At 34.6% G+C, this 20,667-nt stretch overlaps 2 protein-coding genes across 4 annotated transcripts in view, besides 1 other annotated feature; both read left to right on the top strand.

Annotated features, from left to right (window-relative positions):
- The window catches only part of RAD54B (RAD54 homolog B), a 103,156-nt gene that overhangs the window by 37,280 nt on the left and 45,209 nt on the right, over positions 1–20,667 (top strand). Inside the window, exon 4 of one of the 3 annotated variants that reach the window (NM_001205262.3) lies at positions 5,180–10,120. The exons of 1 other annotated variant lie outside the window; for it this stretch is intronic. In NM_001205262.3, the coding sequence (NP_001192191.1) occupies positions 5,180–5,229 (50 nt within the window). In that variant the 3' untranslated portion in view covers positions 5,230–10,120. Of the gene's footprint in view, positions 1–891; positions 1,342–5,179; positions 10,121–20,667 lie in introns of those variants that run through there. One more of the 3 variants, NM_001205263.2, reaches the window with a different exon arrangement.
- On the top strand, positions 892–10,120 carry FSBP (fibrinogen silencer binding protein). Its single transcript, NM_001256141.2, has 2 exons — positions 892–1,341; positions 5,180–10,120. Exons 1-2 carry the CDS (start codon positions 968–970, stop codon positions 5,703–5,705), a joined length of 900 nt encoding a protein of 299 aa, NP_001243070.1. The 5' UTR covers positions 892–967; the 3' UTR covers positions 5,706–10,120.
- Positions 2,536–3,036: an enhancer, noted in NCBI's record as "NANOG-H3K27ac hESC enhancer chr8:95447028-95447528 (GRCh37/hg19 assembly coordinates)". NCBI's record gives its function as "activates a minimal SCP1, AML or CMV promoter by ChIP-STARR-seq in naive H9 embryonic stem cells {active_cell/tissue: H9 hESC(naive)}" and the evidence as "EXISTENCE:reporter gene assay evidence [ECO:0000049][PMID:30033119]".

Raw genomic sequence — 20,667 nt, 5'->3', positions numbered from 1 at the left:
TGAAAATGGCTAGACTAGCTGTTTCCTTTCATAGTCCAAACTGTGTGAATATAGCTAAATAAAAAATCTGGCTCTATTATAATAGCAAATGTGATTTTGTATGTGGAGTCTTAAGGCGTGATTATACTGTTTCTCACCATGAACAGTGATTTTTTACACATGATAAGGCAGGCTAGCAAATTCACATACATTACGGCTAGAATAATCCATTGCTTTAAAAACATGATTTTTACCTGCTTTTTAGATTGAGTGTTCTATAAAAATTTTTTCTTAAGTGAAAAAAATATGCAGAGGCTAATGTAGACTGTAAAATGAAGGAGAAGCTTAGCTTTACTGTGGAGTCTGGGTCTGGGTGTAACCTAACTAGCTAGAGGATATGCAATTCCTGATTGACAGCAGATCCAGCATTATGCAGATTTTGTAAGGGAGAACACTCAGCTCAGAAACAGTGATGAGAGGCTCTGTTAGGAATTACTACATTCACTACTCATATCTTTTAGTTTTCTGTCTACTGGATTTGTAAATAAATAGCACAAAACAGTTCCTCTTTTGTTTTTATTAAAGTGATACTGCAATGCAGTTCAGTCTGTCAGCTAGGCATACATGTGTGAAATTTGATATTCTCACTAAATTAGCTAATTTTTAGCTGTGTTCCATGCTTATCTCTAGACCTTTGTGTATTAAATCCTGTCTCGAGCTGTTCCCTTTATACACAAGTGTGTTTTGCTTGTGCCTTCCTGTCTTCTTCAGTGAGAAGCTTTATGTAGGTCAGGCTTGGCTTAAGCAGATTTCCTGAACCTGCGTCAGCTTAAGCTGGAGGAATTTTAATAAACCCTCCCCTGTAGGCGTGGGCCTAAATGAGGCTAGCCTAGTTAAGCCTGATCTTTTTCTGTTTGTGAAAAGAGCTGAGCAGAGCTGAAGGCTGCATGGTGGTTTCAGAAACTGCCTACTTAATTTGAAAAGAACAATGGTAGGAAAGGCTAGATCTTCCAATTTTACCTTATCCGAAAAGCTTGATTTGCTAAAGCTTGTGAAGCCATATGTGAAAATTCTCGAAGAACACACTAATAAACATTCAGTAATAGTAGAAAAGAATAGATGTTGGGATATCATAGCAGTTAACTATAATGCAATTGGAGTAGACCGCCCTCCTCGAACAGCACAGGGCCTACGCACCCTTTATAAAAGGCTCAAAGAATATGCCAAACAGGAGCTATTGCAGCAAAAAGAGACCCAATCAGATTTTAAAAGCAATATTTCTGAGCCAACCAAGAAAGTTATGGAGATGATTCCCCAGATTTCCAGTTTTTGCCTGGTAAGAGACAGGAACCACATACAAAGGTAAGCTTTATTTTGTTTTGTTATGGAAAATTATGGCGCCTCCTATCTATTGGGCTTTGGCTTAGTCGTGATAGAGATATGCATAGTAAGCATCCCCACAACGGGAGCAATGAATAGTGTCTTTGTTTTGCATTTTTTAAAAAGAGAAAAGTGAGGCTATGAGGAATTTTTCTGTTGCATTTAAGCTACTTTTTACTGTCTTCCCCTCCCCCTTCCCTCCTGTAGTTTCTAAAAGTAAAGGTTAGGGAGGAATAAGTGGGTTGAAATTTGTGACATCACTTCATAAACTTCTTAAGCTTTAAAATTAAATTATTTAGTTTGCTTCTGAGAGATACTTTTTTTCTCATTTAAGATTACATTTCACTGGAATTTTCAATTTTATATAAAATTTATATAAAGTTAGCAGTTTCTAGAGAAATGGAACCTTGCTTTTTTATGAATTGTCATTGTCTACACTTATTGAATATATGTTAACTAACAAATATAAACAAAATCAATAAGTAAACTTGTTAATGGCATGATTGTGTATATGAAGACAGTTTAAATTATTTTTCTAACACGTTTAAAATAAAGATGAACACAACTAAAGGGAGTTAATGCCTAATTAGGGATTCAGTTTACTTAATAAAATTAAAAGTTTTTTGTTGTTGTTGTTTTTATTCCTTAATAGTCTAGTTTCACTTTGATCTTGGGTCGTATAGGAAAGAGTAAGCTTTCTCTTACTGCTTTGCAAGGATATCAAATTATGAATTTTAAAATACCCCTAAGAGCAACTGGGTTTTTTTAGAGTTAGAAGCAATTTTTTGGTTAAACTTGTCTTCTATGTAACTATTTGCCTTGGAATTTTCAAAAGTATTATCTTGCCACTAATTCAGATTGTAACCTCTGGCAAAATATAAAAATGGCAGCTACATTCTTATTCTGAACCATTTAGGGTAATTTAAACAAATTGTAAACTCCTTGTTAGTTTGAGGAGCCTTTCAAACAAAGCTTTACACAATGTGCTTTTCTATTGGTGGAAGAGGCATTATATAAGCAAATTATTGATTACTATGAAATCCCTTTGAAATTAGGAGAGAAGCAGAAAAAAACCACTTTGTAGCCAAGTGCATATGTTATTTTGGTAATTTACTAGGAAAGTATTTTTGAGCCTAGCTTCTTACCAGATACTGCTTATTTCTACTTGATAGCACAGTAAAAAAAATATCACCAGTGGGAATCCAGGACATGAATACACAGTGGATTAATTCTTGGGGCCACTGGTTAAAATGTTCACTGTGATGACAAATGATGAAATCCCAATAGCTAGATATCCAGAAAACTACGCAGTAAAATTGTTTTATACTGTGCTACTTATGCAGAATTTTCTCTCCCTTGAACCATGGAGAAAAGTGTTTTTTGCATCGCAGGTATAAAACTGTACCCTTTGGTTAGTAGGTATAGGTTTTTATAATTTGAAAACGACATGTAGAAACTGTAATTTTAGTTAGTTGCATATTTTAAAAATAACAGTGAGTAGAAGAAAAATAATATATAAATATACAAGTATCTGGTTACATTTTGACTATTTGTGTGTGTGAATATTTACAATATTCACACACAAAAAATCTTTTGGGATATGAACATTTCTCTGATAAAAATGAGTTGATTTGTACATTTCTATACCTATGGCTTAAATAATACCAATTTGTTAGGTTTTAAAGGGAAGAATATAAGAAACATGCCTTTTAAATTCTTATGTTACTGTGTCTACATTGACATTTTCTCTGTATTAGCTTATTTCTTTAATATATATATTTAATGTGCTTATATTTATTTGATTGATATCATCCTTGAATCTTAATAATCTCAGAAGTTTATAATTATTCTATAATCTTAACTATACTTCTACATAAATATGCCTGTTAATCTTACCAAACTCTTCCTTTTTAATAAGGAAAATACTAGTGTTTGCGTTAACATACTTAAAAATATATACCTGTTTTGTAAGGCTATTTATTTTCTGTAACTCACATTGACTTATGTCTTTATTTTTACCTCTTCCTAATATCAGTTTATATTTTGTGTTTTTGTAAACTGATCTTCAAAGTTCTGATTCTCAAGTCCTTCTCTGTCATTTTTGTGACCTGCTCTAAAGCTTTTTTTCTCCCTTTTTATATTGTTATGCCTTAGTTGTAATGTTTTAGCTAAAATGGAAAGGAATGTTCCAGATATGAGGCATATTTTTAATTTACTTGGTAGTATTATGTCTATGTTTATACTCTCTATTTTACATACTAATTTGAAATAGTAATTATGTGGTTTTAAAAACTTAATTTTCATATGCAATTTTAGCCTTTTCCCATTCCAGGTTTTAGCAGAGCTATTAATAGAAGCAGAGCTTGCTACTTTGAATTACATTTATAATTAATTGTTTTGTTTTTGGAAATAATAAAATGACACAAACAGAGACAAGAACAAAAATGAATTTATATAACCTACAAATAGATTTTTTATTATATACTATATATGTTTCATTTTGTCTCTTAGATAAATATCTGATATTTCTGGCAATTTAATGGCATTAGTAAGTAACGTATGGGTAGTTTTAATCTTTTTCTATGCATTCTGCTTGAACTTGTTCCAGCATTTTAATCATCCATGTAGAATGTATTCTTTTAATTATGTTTCTTATTATATGTAAAATCTTCTCTAAATAATATTAAATAAAGTATTTCCATTCATGTTCAATGATCTAATTTCCCTTTATAACTTTTATTTTTAAGTTAGGCAGAAGCATAAATTAAAAAAAACAACCTCAAGGAGCAGATATTCTTAATTCACAGCTTCACGTTATACATAAAATTATGTTTATAAAACAGAATTTTAAGGTTTATTGCATTTATAATATCATAACTTGTTATGCTGAAGCTTAAATTATGCTAAAGCTGTAGTTGTCTCCATTGGGAATGCATATTTGGTGGAAATTATGTGTAAATTTAATAAACCTTTAATATATCTGTATAGGCCATTAAAAATGTTTCATTAAAAAATCATTTAGTTTGTTTTTTTTCAGTCATTCAACACATAATGAGCACCTACTAGGTTCTAAGTACAGTACCTGCTAGGTACTGAGTATACAGTTGTGGATTAAAACCATTGCTCTTGTGAACTTTACCTGACCAGTGATTGAAAGACTTAAACAGCATCTGAGTCATATGGTTCAGAATAGGTAAAACGGAAGTTTTTCCTATCAGATAAAAGCATCTGAAATAAGAAAGTTAGGATAACCTCCAGTAGTTGAGCATATCCCAAAGCCATATACAATCTTTATGTTTTATTTTTTGGGCAAATGCAGAAATCAGTACCTCCCATAGATGGCCTTTCACTGTCCTTTTATAAGTTATGGGCCTTCATGGTTTTAAGATCAGTCCAGGAGAGCAGAAGCCTGAGGTCTAGGGCTAAGGTATGGGGATAACAAGACTGAGAATGCATTAAATGGCTCTGTACACCATTTGAAAACCTTAGGGTTGTGGGAAAGATTGGTGTCTGTTTGACAACATGAAAACTGGCTTTTCTTTTTATTTTCTTCATTGGCCTTCTATAATATTTGTAATTTCCTGCTCCTTTAAAGCACAATTTTAAAGTTAAGGATGGGGGAGATCTGTGAGTATGTATTATTGAAATCCCAATCTTAGTCACTTTAATGTATTTCAAGTGTTTAAGATTTTTTTTTATTTTGTAACTTTATAGTTTTAAAGCTTTATCATTTAATGTACATTAAATTAAAATTATGCTATAAATATACACTTTTTCTTCATTTGATTTACATATTATAATGCTTTTTTGTGTGCTATAGTGCAAACTTGGATGAGGAGGCACAGGCTGGTACCAGTTCACTACAGGTAATGTTGGATCACCATCCTGTTGCTATTACAGTGGAGGTGAAGCAAGAAGAAGACATTAAACCACCTCCTCCACTGGTTTTAAATTCTCAACAGAGTGATACTTTAGAGCAAAGAGAAGAACATGAATTAGTACATGTTATGGAAAGATCCTTGTCGCCTTCACTTTCCTCTGTTGATATGAGAATGACATCGTCTCCATCTTCTATTCCAAGGAGAGATGATTTTTTTCGGCATGAGAGTGGTGAACACTTTAGGTCACTATTAGGGTATGATCCTCAGATCCTGCAAATGTTGAAAGAGGAGCATCAGATAATTTTAGAAAATCAAAAAAATTTTGGATTGTATGTTCAGGAGAAGAGGGATGGATTGAAAAGAAGGCAGCAGCTAGAGGAAGAGCTACTAAGAGCAAAAATTGAAGTGGAGAAGCTGAAAGCAATTCGCTTACGGCATGATCTACCTGAATATAACAGTCTCTAAGTTTTTTTTTCAATCTTGCAATTTGATAATTTTGATTTTGGCCAAATTACTTTAATTTGGGAATATCCTGAAACAGAATACACGTTCTTGAAAAATGTTGTTAATCTCTATTATGGAAAAACTTTTTAGATATAATTTTCTAATTATTTTCTTTTGAGATATTAAAATTTACTGGTTGGTTGGCATGGTTATAGTTTTTATTGTCTTCTTTTTTTTTTCCCTAAGTTTAATTGTTGACCTTACAAAAGATATTTTATTCTGATCACTAAGATATACACAAATGCATATACAAACACATATTCTTTCAAAGTTCTGAGTCTTCAACATTTTTAGTTAGAACTTTGAAAGCTATAATTAGAGATTTTTAAGTCAGTCTAATTTAGGAGCTATACTAACCTAATACCAAGAAGCTTGTCTGTATGACATTGGTTTTTATGCTTTTATCTTTTGAAGGAGTAAATCCTAGGATTTTAGAGATGGAAGATATTTGGAGAACACTTTTTTTCCATCTCTGCAGTTTAGGGGTAATGAAACAGGTCCAGGGAGAACTCAATGACTTACTTAGGGTAACAAAGCTATTTATGGCAGAGCAGAGACCAGCACTTAGTTTTTCTTTGTGTAATTTCCATCCCGCTATTCGATAGAAGTAAATATCCACTAAAACATTCTCTAGATTTAAATATTAGAAGCATTTCTTTCATTAAAATTGCCTTTAAAGATTGTTAGGTTGTGAAATCAGGATAATTACATCAATTACCCCCATTCTCTCTCTATTTTTGTTCCAGCAAAATAGATAAGGTATTCCATTGAAGCTATTATATATTTTGGCTGTGTGATTTAAAGACATGTCTTAATTCATTTTGAATGTCCTGTTCTGGAAAAAATTTCTTTCACAGTAAAAATCAGAATGAACAAAATTAAAATTTTATGTATTTTATAAGTATTGTTATTTTAGTATTCATGGAAATAAAACCTCAATTCTTAAAGCATACATATTAAATTTATATTAAATCTCTAATATGTATGTTACTTAAGAATTTCTATTTTTGCTGGGGTTTTGTTGAGAAGGGATTTTTAAGCCAAGTTGTAGAATGGGGTGGGTGTAATTTCAGCAGTGAAGGGGACCATGGGTGTTTGAAGTCAAGAGTGAGACGCTGGAAAAAAGACAAAAGAATGGGAAAAAGTGGATTGAGTATATAAGCACAAATGCAGTGCTAAGCCATTGATTTTAAGTGAATGTAGAGAGAGTCAATTTGGGCTGTAGTATCCTGGACTAGGAAGGACATCTCCCTGGACTAGGTAGGGTAGCTGCTGTTTAGCTCCAGCAGAATTTTCACATGCGGGGATAAACCAGAAATCTGCATTTTTTAATGAGGAATCTTCCAATTTTAAAATGTTTGCAAATAACACAAAATGCTTTTAAAACATTATACAGACAACATGTGAGTGGGCCTCACTGAGCCATTGGGCTTCCACTTTGTGGCCTTTGGAGTAGACCAATGGTTTTCCAAGTATGGGTCCTGACCAGCAGCATCAGCATCACTTGAGAACTTGTTAGAAATGTAAATCCATTTCCAAGTGAATTAGAAACCCTGGGGGTGTCAGCAATCTCTTTTAATAAACCCTTTAGCGATTCTGATGCATGCTAAAGTTTGAGAACCAGTGAAACAGAGTATTTTGGAACCTCGCTTGGTGCCTAAATCATACTAGTCTCAAAATTTTTGTCGAAGAGTAGTTGAAAGTGAACTGAGGGATATAAATTTGGATGATGGTTGATACCAGATTATGAATTACATTAAATACTTTTTTTTTTTTTTTTTGAGATGGAGTCTTGCTTTGTCACCTAGGTTGGAGTGCAGTGGTGCGATGTTGGCTCACTGCAATCTCCGTTTCCTGGGTTCAAGCGATTCTCCTGCTTCAGCTTCCCAAGTAGCTGGGACTACAGGCGCACCACCATGCCTGGCTAATTTTTTGTGTTTTTAGTAGAGACGGGGTTTCACTGTGTTAGCCAGGATGGTCTTGATCTCCTGACCTCGTGATCTGCCCGCCTCGGCCTCCCAAAGTGCTGGGATTACAGGCTTGAGCCACCGTGCCCAGCCTAAATACTATTTTTAATGAGTCAGACTTAACGTACAATGAGAAGCCATTGAATGCTTTGAATTAGAGGGCTAATTTGATTATAGTTGTGATTTAGGAGGAGTGGCATTTAGGGACAGGCATTGTATTGGAAGAACTTAAATCAGAAATTTAAGTTATGGCTATAGAAATAGAAAAAAATGAACTCAAGGTACTATTTTAGCATGTTGACTACTTAATTTCATTGGTTGGATTAAAAAGAGGGTGTTTTATAGCTGGTAGAGTTAACTTCTTTAATTATAAAGATGTCCTGAATATATAACTTGATATATCCTTTTGACAATGTTACCTTTTCTCTTTAATCTGTGCTATGACTTTTCTTTGAGTCTAATGAATCTTGTAATTCTTAATTTGAGGTAATGTTTCCCAGTATAATTCTAGTAAACACATCTTGGCAGTAGTAAGCTTTATTTTTTGAAATTATTGAAAGCACATATATGAGATGTAATTCACTTTACAGTTTCAGCATGCTACTAAGAATTGATAATGAATGTTCAATTTAAATGTTGGCTTTTACAGCAAATCAGAGTTTTCCCAAGTGTGTTCTGTGGAACATTAATTCTGTGAGATGTTTCTAGAAAAGAGATCTGTGTTAAAAAAAAGTGCAGTATACATCTTTTTTATTTTTGGTGGTTAGGTTCTAAAATAATTGTGGAAGGTAAAAATTATGTATATACAAAATAGCCCTTGAAAATTCCTTTGCTGCCCATAAAATAGCATAAACATAGTCTGCTACAATCATATTTTTCTGCAGCATTGTTTAAGATTGCTTTTTCTTTAGTGTGTTAGGTGACACAATTCATTAGCATTTAGGGGCTGTATACAATAAGAAACCTATTTTTACATATTTTTAAACACCAGAATCACACTCTTTGAGTTTACTGCAGCAACTTTTCCAAGTCAATCTTGTTTTTCTCCAAGTCAGTCTTGTTTACTTTTAATTTGCAAAAGTTTAAATGCATATAATTCTCCTCATTGTCTACCTCCCCTTGTATAACCATGATTAACATAGTATAGTTTATGAGAATTCCTGTATAAAGAAAATTATTTATTTGACCATAGAATCCTTTTCCGAGGCTGTTTATTATCTTACAGAGTATCTTAGGGTAATTTGGAACCAAACCTTTTTTTTTCTTCTTTTTTGTATTGAGACTTTTTTGAGTTAGGGGACTACTTACCAACTAACATTAGCAGTTTTTGTTGAGGACAAGTTTCATTAAGGGGAATATATAGGGGAAAGTTTGCTAGTACAATGGAATGTACACTTGGCTTTCTATCTGCAGGTTTCACATCTGCAGATTGAACTACTGTGGATTGAAAATATTCAGGCAGAAAAATAAATAACAGTACAACAATAAAAAGTAATACGAAATTTAAAAAGACGGTATAACTGAGGTAGGAGTTGGGCTAATCCCCAGTTTTGGGGCTCACTTGTCCTGTATCCTAACAACTATTTACATAGTATTTACATTATATTAGCCATTGTAAGTAATCTAGAGATGATTTAAAGTATATGGAAGGATGTGTGTAAATTGTATGTGAATACAAACATTTTATATAAGGGACTTGAGTATCTGTGGATCTTGATGGGGTAGGGGGTGTCCTGAAACCAATCCCCCTTGGATACTGAGGGATGACTATACACTTAAGCCACCAGACATCTTGCATATCATAGACAATTGTTTGGGGTCCATGAGCTTTAATTACAAAATGTAATGCTGGGAGAACATAGAGAAGAGTGATTTTGTTTTTTAAATGTAGACTTGATTCTGTAGAAATATACTACATTTGATAAATATACTAAGTATATAGATTATTTCATCCAATATATTAGTAATTTAGATAGTGGATAGCCACTTTCCTATCTTTCTCTTATCCATATGAATGTAATGGATATGTTGTTACAACTTATGATTTTCTAAACTAGCTGTGATTTATAATGACATCCTGAGAAAAGTCAGTGAAACTCATTTCTAACGAATACCAGATTTCTTAAAATAGTCAAGTATTTTTCTTTTGTGTATGATGAGATATTAACTTGGTGTTATTTCATTTTTTTTTTTAAGGAGTCATTCTACCCTGTTCTATCTTTACTTATGTGAAAATGTTTAAACTATGAGTTTTTTTCATGTGCCTTCTTTTGGAGTAATGTCAACTTTTAAATACACATGTTTAAATAACTTAGAGTGTAATAAATTGTGTTTAATATATACTGTAGATAATGATGGTTAAATGCTTTGTTAACACATGTTCTTTTAAATACAAGATACTACTTTGTACTGATTTGTGTACTTTTTTTGTGTGCCGTTAAGACAAATAATTCAGTACTGTAGAGGTAAAATTTTTTGATGAGGTATAATTGAAATACATTTATTTAGATGATTATGTTATAATAGATGGCCAATGTACCATATCTAAATATCACATTTCATTTCTTTTTTCAAATGTTAAGAGCCACAGCTTCTCAAAATCAAATATTTGATGGTGAATTTGATTGTAAACACTTAAAAGTAATTAGATGAAATATGGTTGCATACTTAAACAAGAGTAAGTTCTTAGAATATGCAATCTAATTAAACATTAACAGTCAAGCAAAATCTTTGTATACGATTTTGAGAAATTGTTCAATATATTTTTATAAATCTTTTATATTGATTAAAGCTAGTAGTTATAATTTGAACATATTATTTATTTTTAGTTTCCAATTGCTTTGTAATAGTGGAAAGCAAAATAAATGAGTAAATAAAAATAAAAATAAAAATATCGCTCATATCAGTCCTGACAACTTAAACTAAAAGGATATATCATTATAATTCCACTTTGCTAGCAGGTCTTTTTTGTTTTAAAATTTATGTGTGAATTCACCTCTGTTACAAAGTTTTTTTTCCCCTAACATTAAGAAACCTTTCAAACATACAGAAAAAGTGAAAAGATAGTTATAGTAAGTATCCATATATCTACCACATAGATTCTGCAATTAATGTTTTGCTATACTTGGCTTCATCACCTATTTATCCATCAATTCTTTTTTTTAAAGGAAAAATGTTACTTCGAAACAAGTTGTAGAGTTAGAATAATTTACCCTTAAGTACTTCAGCATGAGTATTACTAGAGTTCACTATTTATTTGTGCATGTGTGTTTTTTAGGTAAGATTTGCATACAGTGAAATGCACAAATTTAAAATATACCATTTGGTGAGTTTTGATCTACAACTGTGTAGCTCAAACCTCTGTCAAGAATTAGAACAATATCACCTCAGAAAGTCCTCTCTTGCCTGCTTCTAATCAGTCTTCTTGCACGTCAGGCAACCATTGTCCTAATTTAAAAAAAATTATAGATAAGTTTTGCCTATTCTAGAACTTCATGTAATTGGAATCATACAATATGCATACTTTGTTTCTGTTTTTTTCACCTTAGTGTTTTTAATATTCATCCATGTTTATCCATCCTATTAGTAGCTCATTGCTTTCTGTTGCTGTGCAGTATTCCATTGCATAAATATACCACACTTTTTATCCATTATCTTTTGATGGACTTCTTGGCAATTTCCATACTTTGGCTATTATGTATAAAGATTCTATGAATATTCTTGTGCAAGTTTTTCATGGACATAATGTTAGTTAGGGAACCATACAGACTTAACCTTTAAGAAATTGCCAGACATTTTCTAAAGTGATTATATCATTTTACACTTCCATCAACAGGGTATGAGTTTTTTTTTTTTTTTTAATTTTTGCAAAAGGCTGGGCACAGTGGCTCACACCTGTCATCCCAGCACTTTGGGAGGCTGAGGCGGGTGGATCGCTTGAGGCCAGGAGTTCGAAACCAGCCTGGCCACCATGGTGAAACCCCGTCTCTACTAAAAATACAAAAATCAGCTGGGCGTGGTGGCAGGCACCTGTAATCCCAGCTACTCAGGAGGCTGAGGCAGGAAAATTGCTTGAATCTGGGAGGCAGAGGTTGCAGTGAGCCCTGATGACGCCACTGTACTCCAGCTTGGGCAACAGAGCAAGACCCTGTCCCAAAAACGAAACAAAACGCCCTTTGCATGTTCAGTGACTGGAATGTCAGAAGTGAAATTGATGAATAATTTTTGTAATATTTAAGTGCATTCAAAATGTTGGACAGGTAATTTAGATATCTGGGAATATTGTAGTTTACTGGTTTTTTTTTTTTTCATTTTAGTACTAGTTGCATATATGCTCTGACATGAGGTATTGAAGAAATATGAAATGTGTAGTCTCTGCTACGCTTATAAAACATAATTCTGAAAATGATCTTTAATGCAAAGAAATATCTTCTAGGTTTATTTTATACTTATTGATACTTATATTTAGTTCACATTCAATCTCTTAGATATAAGAAAACTGTGAGTGATTATCAGTTTGAAGGGATTTGTATATTAATGTTTGTATGCTTTTTAGTGTAATAAAAACTGTTTCAATCTTAAATTTATATTGCAGTTATATGTTAATGCATATTAAACATTGGTAGGTTTTGGTAATTTTAAAACTCAAAACATGATCTGCAAGAGTATTTACATTCTTTATTGAATTTGATTATATGAGACATTTTAAATTTTCATTTGTGCCATTGAAAACAATGTGTGTATTTAGAATTGTTAAACAAAAGAATATTAGGCTGGGTGCGGTGGCTCATGCCTGTAATCCTAGCACTTTGTGAGGCTGAGGCAGGAGGATTGCTTGAGTCCAGGAGTTGGAGACCAACCTGAAGACCTCTTTAAAAAAAAAAAAAAAAAAAAAAGAATATTAAAGGCTTAGGTTTATGGGTTGTACAATTAAGTCATTCAACTCCAGAGTGGCTATGCTTAGGAATCATTCACTAAGACGATAATGCCCACTATTAATATTAAATGACATTATTTCCCTTTATCAAAACATGCCCTTATGAATTTTTTTTTTTTTTTTTTTTGAGATGGGGTCTCGCTCTGTCACCCAGGCTGGAGTACAGTGGCACAGTCACAGCTCACTGGAGCCTCAACCTCCTGGGCTCAAGCAACCTACCTGCCTCAACTTCCTGAGTAGCTGGAACCACAGGTGTGCACCACCATGCCCAGCTAATATTTGTATTTTTTATAGAGACAGAGTTTTGCCGTATTGTCCAGGCTGGTCTTGAACTCCTGGGCTTGAGTGATTCTCTCACCTTGGCCCCGCAAAGTGCTGGGATTACAGGTGTGAGCCACTGTGCCAGCTGCCTTATGAGTCTTGCAGATAGACCTTCAAGTCTCTTGTTTATGCCGACCACTTTTTGGTATTGATTTGGCAAGCACATTACAGGGTCAAGGGGAAAATAGATCAGAACCCAGTTTACAGTTAAGAAATTATAGACTGGGATTGTTAGGGGTGGTTATTCTGGGACATAGCAAATTAGTCAATATTTTCTGTAATACAAGTAGTCTAGATATAGGAGGTTATGTTCCACTATTCCATGTTCCCAACGATCTTGTTTTTACCTTTTGGAATTATTCACCCTCTCTATTCCATGCTGTATGGCCTACATAATTTTAAAAATGGGAGTAATTGAGAAAGGGACAAGGGCAAATGTTGATGGTGTAAACATTAAGGGAGCACTTACTATGTGGCAAATACTGTTGTGTTTTACATATATTCACTAATCCTTGCTCACAGTAGGTTTGCGAGGTAAGTATTAGTATTATATTCATTTTATAGATTTATAAACTGGCACAAAGGTGTTAAGTAACTTATATAGGGTCATAGAGCTAGTAAGAGGCAGACTTAAGACTCTGACCCAGCCAGTCTGTCTCCATAGTTCATGCCCTTCTGCTGTTCTGCAAAAGAAAAGTGTATATCCGAGAATCTTATGGTATTTCAAAGTTACTTATAAGTAATTTCTGAATTATCAGAATTTAGTTATCTTGTTCATTGTTTTTTCTGGGAGCTGGTGGGATGGTGGCAGGGAGGGTCTTGGACATAACATCCATTCTCTTAGACCCTGGTAATACAATACGGTATTTTACTCCAGGATGTTTTTCCCAGTCTTTTGATGAAGACATTCTTTTTACCCGCTCTTTAGGGTAAAAGGGGAAGTATGTTTTTCTCTTGGATAACCTAATAAAAACAGAGAAACACATTTTAACTATGCAGAAAGATTTTGTCAGTTTTTAATTCAATGCACAGTGACTGCTACTGGTAGAAATAATACAAAAAGAAAACTAATTAAAATTGACTAAAATTGCACACAGCAAAATTTGTGTGAAAAGAGTTCAAAAGCTAATTGAAGTATTCTGTCTTTTGTTAATGCTAAAAACCTCAAAACTTTATCTGGGAAGATCGGGCTTGGTAAAACAACGAAAATAACCCATGACAGCTACAAATTTATCTAAAAACTGGTTAAGTTTTCTTGACTAAAATTTGTTGGATTAATACGATCCTGATAATATTTAGCTGTGCAAAATTTGACTCAGTAAAACTTCATTTGGTAGAAATTATGGTTATGAAAGAACATGTTCATAAAAGCTTTCACCGATCAATGAAATAATATGGTACATAAAGAAGTGACTGAATCTTTGCTACAAAATTTACTTGGAAAATGATCCTGATGATAACAAGTTTTTTTTGTTTGTTTGTTTTTGAGATGGAGTCTGGCTCTGTTGCCTGGTCTGGAGTGCAGTGGCGCGATCTTGGCTCACTGCAACTCCGCCTTCTGGGTTCAAGCAATTCTCCTGCCTCAGCTTCCTGAGTAGCTGGGACTACAGGCGCCTGTCACCATGCCCAGCTAATTTTTTGTATTTTTAGTAGAGATGGGGTTTCACCATGTTAGCCAGGATGGTCTTGATCTCCTGACCTTGTGATTAGCCTGCCTCGGCCTCCCAAAGTGTTGGGATTACAGGCGTGAGCCACCGTGCCCGGCCGGTAACAAGTCTTTGTCAATGAAAATAAAAATTGGGTAATAATGGAAATGAGGACAGAGTTATATTCTAAAGCAACTCTTAATGAAAATGAATTTTAAGATAAATATATATGTATATTTATACATATTCTCTTTCCCAATTAGTCCCATTTTTAAAATTATGTAGGCCATACAGCAGGGAATGAAGAGGGTGAATAACTCCAAAAGGTAAAAACAAGATCATTGGCAACATAGGATAGTGGAACATAGCCTCCTATATCTAGACTACTTGTATTATGAAAATATTGACTAATTTGCTATGTTCCAGAATAACCACCCCTAACAATTATATATATATATATATATATATAATTTTTTGTGGTGAGGAGGCTTTCTAGAAAATTCTGAAACTGGATTTAGAATTGGCAAAAACTGGAAAATTCTGAAAGAGCTGTAACACTGATAATTTTATATATATATATATATATATATATATATATATATATTTTTTTTTTTTTTTTTTTTTTTTTTTTTTTGAGACGAAGTCTCGCTCTATCGTCCAGGCTGGAGTGCCAGTGGAATGTTCTCGGCTCACTGCAACCTCCGCCTCCCGGATTCAAGCGATTCTCCTGTCTCAGCTACCCAAGTAGCCGGCACTACAGGCGTGTACTACCATGCCTGGCTAATTTTTGTATTTTTAGTAGAGATGGAGTTTCGCCACGTTGGCCAGGCTGGTCTCAAACTCCTGACCTCAGGTAATCCGCCTGCCTCAGCCTCCCAAAGTGCTGGGATTACAGGTGTGAACCACTGCACCCGGCTGATAATTGTATTTTAATTAAATGTTTTTATAAACATTTAGTCAAAATGTACCTAGAGTCAAAATAGCAGTTTTTGAAAAGTATCTTGTTCTGTGAGTATGGTGATGAACAAATCAAAACATACTCTCAGGACTTTATAAGTTACTGGGGAAGGCTGACATTAAATAATTTGTTACATAACTAATTATTGAGATAATGTTGAGGTAATAGGGTAACTAGATCTAATTTGGCAATCGGAAATTTAAGTTGTACAGAGAGTAGAAGTTAATTTAGATAAGGGCATTAGAAGAAGACAGGTAAAAGTCTATAGCTGGAAATAGCATACTTCCTTCAAGATTACTAGGACTCATGGATTTTAAGCAAGAGGGATACTTTATCAGATTCACATTTAAAAATAGATAACTATAATAAATGTGGAAAACGGTTTTAGAGAATAGAGGTGGCAAAAGACGCTGTCAGTAGACTTGTTGGGAAGCCCCTGCAGTAATACCAAAATTCAGATCAGAGATGAGTTGAAAAAAGTGGAGGCAATGGAGAAGGATACAATACATAGCTTTGAAAACCTGGTAGGGGGCAGAATTGTCTGGATTTTGTGGTTGATTGTCTGTGGGACTGAAAAAGTAGAGTGTCAAGGATGATTTCCAGTTTTCTGGCTTGTATAAGGACGAGACATGGGGAAACCAAAGGAGGAACAATTTTTGGAGAAAAGATACATGGACATGATGAGTTTGAGATGTTTATGAGATATGTGGACATGTCTGGGAGGCAATTGGATATGCAGATCAAGAGTTGTAATCTGGGCTAGAGAAAAAAAGGTTTTTAGTACCTGGGCAGCACTGAATCCGCTCAAGTGGACAGGCTACTTAAAGAGAAGTGGTGCACAGTGAGAGAACAGGGCCTAGAAGTCAGTTCTGAAGAACTCCAATAGATAAAAGGTAGATGAAGTATGAACTGGCAAAGATGTCTAAGAAGAAGCAAGCAAAGAGGTAAGAGGAAAATTTGAAGGATGTTAGAGAATCTACAAAAGTATAGTTCAGTATTTCTAGGAGGAAGTAGTCAACATTGTCTAATGCTTTTGAGAACTTTGATTAGGACTAAAAACACAACCTGTGGGTTTATAGACAAAGAGTTCCTGGTAACCTTTAACAGGGCAGTTTAGGGGGAATGACTACTGGAAGCCATATTGGAGCAGTTAAGGAGTGATTGGGAATTTGAAGAAGCAGAGGCAGTGTGGGGGTGGGAGTGTTTGGATACTTGAAGTGGAAACAATGGGGTAGACAGCTTCTTATGGTAGGAAAACATCTCTTTTTTTTTTTTTTTTGAGACTGAGTCTCGCTTGATTGCCCAGGCTGGAGTGCAGCGGTGTGATCTCGGCTCACTGCAACCTCCACCTCCAGGGTTCAGGTGATTCTTCTGCCTCAGCCTCCTGAGTAGCTGGGATTACAGACGCCCACCACCACGTCTGGCTAATTTCTGTATTTTTAGTAGAGACGGGGTTTCACCATGTTGGCCAAGCTTGTCTCGAACTCCTGACCTCAGGTGATCCGCCCACCTTAGCCTCCCAAAGTGCTGGGATTACAGGCCTGAGCCACCGCGCACGGCCAAAAACTTCTTTTTTTTTATGTATGTGTTTCTTCCTGCAATACATGTTTCTCCCTGAAATATAACATATTACATAATAATCTTGACTTTATTTTTCCATGCTATGTTTTTTCCCCATGATTTACTGTGGAGAAAGGAGTTTATTAAGTAGGAAGTCAAAGAGTGACCTTGTTAAGAGCTCTTTGGGAGGCTGACGTAGACCAGACGCTTAAGCTCATGAGTTCGACACCAGCCTGGGCAAAATGGTGAAACCCTGTCTATTGAAAATACGAAAAAAAAAATTAGCCGGGCTTGGTGGTGCATGCCTGTAGTCCCAGCTACTCAGGATGCTGAGGTGGGAGGATCGCTTGAGCCCAGGAAGTGGAGGTTTCTGTGAACCAAGATCACACCACTGCACTCCAGCCTGGGTGACAGTGAGACTCTGTCTTAAAAAAAAAAAAAAAAAAAAAAAATCAAGTTTTCTTTGGCGCTTTTACTACAGCATGTCGATATATTGATTTAGAGTACAATCATGTTGCTTAATGACAGGAATATGTTCTGAGAAATGCATTGCTAGGTGATTTCGTTGATGTGTGAACATTGTGGAATGTACTTCCTCAAACCTAGATGGTATAGCCTGCTACACACCTAGGCTGTGTGGTATAGCCTATGGTTCCTAGACTGTAAACCTGTACTGCATGTGCTGTGCTGAATACTGTAGACAGTTGTAACACAGTGGTATTTGTGTATCTAAACATATCTAAAAATAGAAAATATACAGTAAAAATATGGTATTAAGATGTTACGGGACCACCATCATATATGTGGTCTGTGGTTGATCAAAACCTTGTTGTGTGGTACATGACTGTATACTAAAGTGTTTAATAATTTCTAGTAAGTGTGAGTGGGCTTATTTCAACCTCTTTTATTTTACTCTGTTAAATTGTTCATGTTGCTTTTTTTTTTTTTTTTTTTTTGGTGGGGGCCAGGCTGTGAGAGAAGAGGGAGGAGTTTTTAAATGACCTGGGTTTATTTAAAATATTGTAACAGCCCCGTAACTTAGTACCTCCTATTAAAGAAAATATTAAATGGATTCTTAATTCTTCCAGCACAGTCAACACTTGTGTTCCATGTATTTTGTAGCATTTTACATATTAAAATTCAGTAGATTTATTTTTTGCTTTAATTTTATTTTCATTTATTTATTTATTTTTTTGAGACGGAGTTTCGCTCTTGTTGCCCAGGCTAGAGTGCAGTGGCATGATCTCGGCTCACTGCAACCTCCGCCTTCTGGTTTCAAGCAATTCTCCTGCCTCAACCTCCCGAGTAGCTGGGATTGCAGGTGCCTGCCACCACGCCTGGCTAATGTTTGCATTTTTAGTAGAGACAGGGTTTCACCATGTTGGTCAGGCTGGTCTCGAACTGCTGACCTTGTGATCCACCCGCCTTGGCCTCCGAAAGTGGTGGGATTACAGGCGTGAGCCACCACTCCCAACCTTTTTGCTTTAATTTTAACAGTTCTTACTAATTGAAATTCTTTTATGCCTATTTTTTACTTAAATATTTTAAGTAAAATTCAGGGATTAGATTCTACATATTGGCAATATGTCGGCTGAATGTTGAGGGTTTTCTGGTCAGATTAAAACTTTAAAGATATGAGAATCTTTTCTTTTTTTCTCAGGTACCTTCTTTAAGTGTAGTGTGAAATTAGGAGAGTCTAGCAAAGAGGAAATGAAGATACATTTAAAAATATCCTATCACTAATCAAATTCAAATTGCAGCATTAAGGAGATATCATTTCTGCCAATTAAATTGATAAAGATGAATTCACAGAAAAAGTTCATAGAAGCTTTATGATAGTCAAAGCTATCAAAATTAAGCTGAAAACTCAACTGTCTGTCACTATCCTATATAATAATAAGGAACAAATTGTTGATACAGGCAACAATTTGGGATGAATCCCAAAGACATTATGCTGAATGGGAGAAATCATTTTTGAAACGGTTGTATACTGTATGATTCCATTTATTCGACGTTCTCAAAAAGAAAACAATATTCATGGAAAACAGGTCAGTAACTGCAGGGGTTTTGGGTAAGGGGAGGGTGTGAGTATAAAGCAATAGCATGAGGGAGTCTTTCGGGATGATGGAACGATTCTATATCCTGATTGTGGTCATGGTGGTTCTGTGAATCTATATATGTGTTCAAATTTGTAGAGCTGTACATCAAAAGAAAAAGTCTATTTTACTGTATGAAAATTTAAAAACAATAGTTAAAAATGGATAAAGGTGATGTTTTGTGCTAATGTAGGTGTAATGGGTGTAATGAAGTGGACACCCTTGCTTGGTGGGAATATCATTGATACAACCTTTCGTGGAGAAAAATTTGTCAGTCTAAATCAAGAATCTGAAAATCTTTAAATTCATTGGACTGGTAATTTCATTTCTTGGACTTTATCTTCCACAAATAACCAGAGATGCACAGATTGAATATGATAGAGCTTAAAAAAAAAGTCCAGTAATAAGGGACTAATAATATGTAGAAATATATCCACAATAACATATGAAAAGAGAAGGGTAAAAAACTATCCACTACATCTACTGGGACATTTAGAAGCACATTTCCCCCAAAAAAGTATCTGAAAAATGACGTGTTATCCATACACTCTCATTAGGGAAGGAAGGTCAGAAAACTGGAGGAGCTGCACTTAAGTCCTTTGTCTTCTTGGTTCCTGCTGAGGGCTCTAGCAGACTGAATCCTTTCAGGAACTGATCAGAGTTCATTGGGTCATGCCAGACAGAGCTGACTCAAGCTGGGTATGAATCATTTGTTTTCTCAGAAAACAACTTTGGTGGTTCTGAGTATAATTTACTGGTTGAAGATAGCCAAGACTCACTTTCTAAATCCATGAATGCCAGTAATGAAGATACAATTTATCTGAATTCTAGTAGTGATAAATTTTCAGGCATTTGGCAGGTTGATTTACCTGGCTTGGAGATGTACAAGTTTTTTTTTTTCCAGACATATGTCTTCTTTTTCTTTCTTCTTCTTCTTCTTTTATTTTGGTGAATACCTAGCAGTGTAATGGCTGGTTATGGTAGGTGTATGTTTAACTTTTAAAGAGTCTGCGAAACCATTTTCCAAACTAGTTGTACTGTTTGACATTCCTTCCAGCAGGATATGATATTTTCAGTTGCTCTATATCTTTATTAGCACTTACTGTGGTCAGTTTTTTTTTTTTTTTAATTTTAGTCAGTATAATCAAGATGTGGTGTTATTTCATTGTGTGTGTGTGTTTTAAACAGCTTTATTGAGATACAATTAACATACCCTATGATTCAGTCATGTAAAGTGTACAATTCATTGTTTTTTAATATAGTCACAGTTAATGTGCAACCATCAGAACAGCCAGTTGCAGAATATTTTCAATACCTCAGAAAGAAACTTTTTACCTTTAGCTACCACCACCCTGCTTCCTAACCCCATCCTTACCCTCCAGCCTAAGCAACCATTAATCTATTTTCTGTCTCTGTAAGATTTTGCTGTTCTAGACATT

Source organism: Homo sapiens, chromosome 8, assembly GCF_000001405.40.
Source record: "Homo sapiens chromosome 8, GRCh38.p14 Primary Assembly".
Taxonomy (NCBI): Eukaryota; Metazoa; Chordata; class Mammalia; order Primates; family Hominidae; genus Homo; species Homo sapiens.
This window is presented reverse-complemented; position numbering and strand designations above follow the sequence as displayed.

Bases quoted from the DNA above. Each gene is read 5' to 3' on its own strand.
- FSBP (NM_001256141.2), top strand. From the start codon at position 968: ATGGTAGGAAAGGCTAGATCTTCCAATTTTACCTTATCCGAAAAGCTT. The intron at 1,342-5,179 runs GTAAGCTTTATT...TGTGTGCTATAG, and splicing joins GACAGGAACCACATACAAAG to TGCAAACTTGGATGAGGAGG.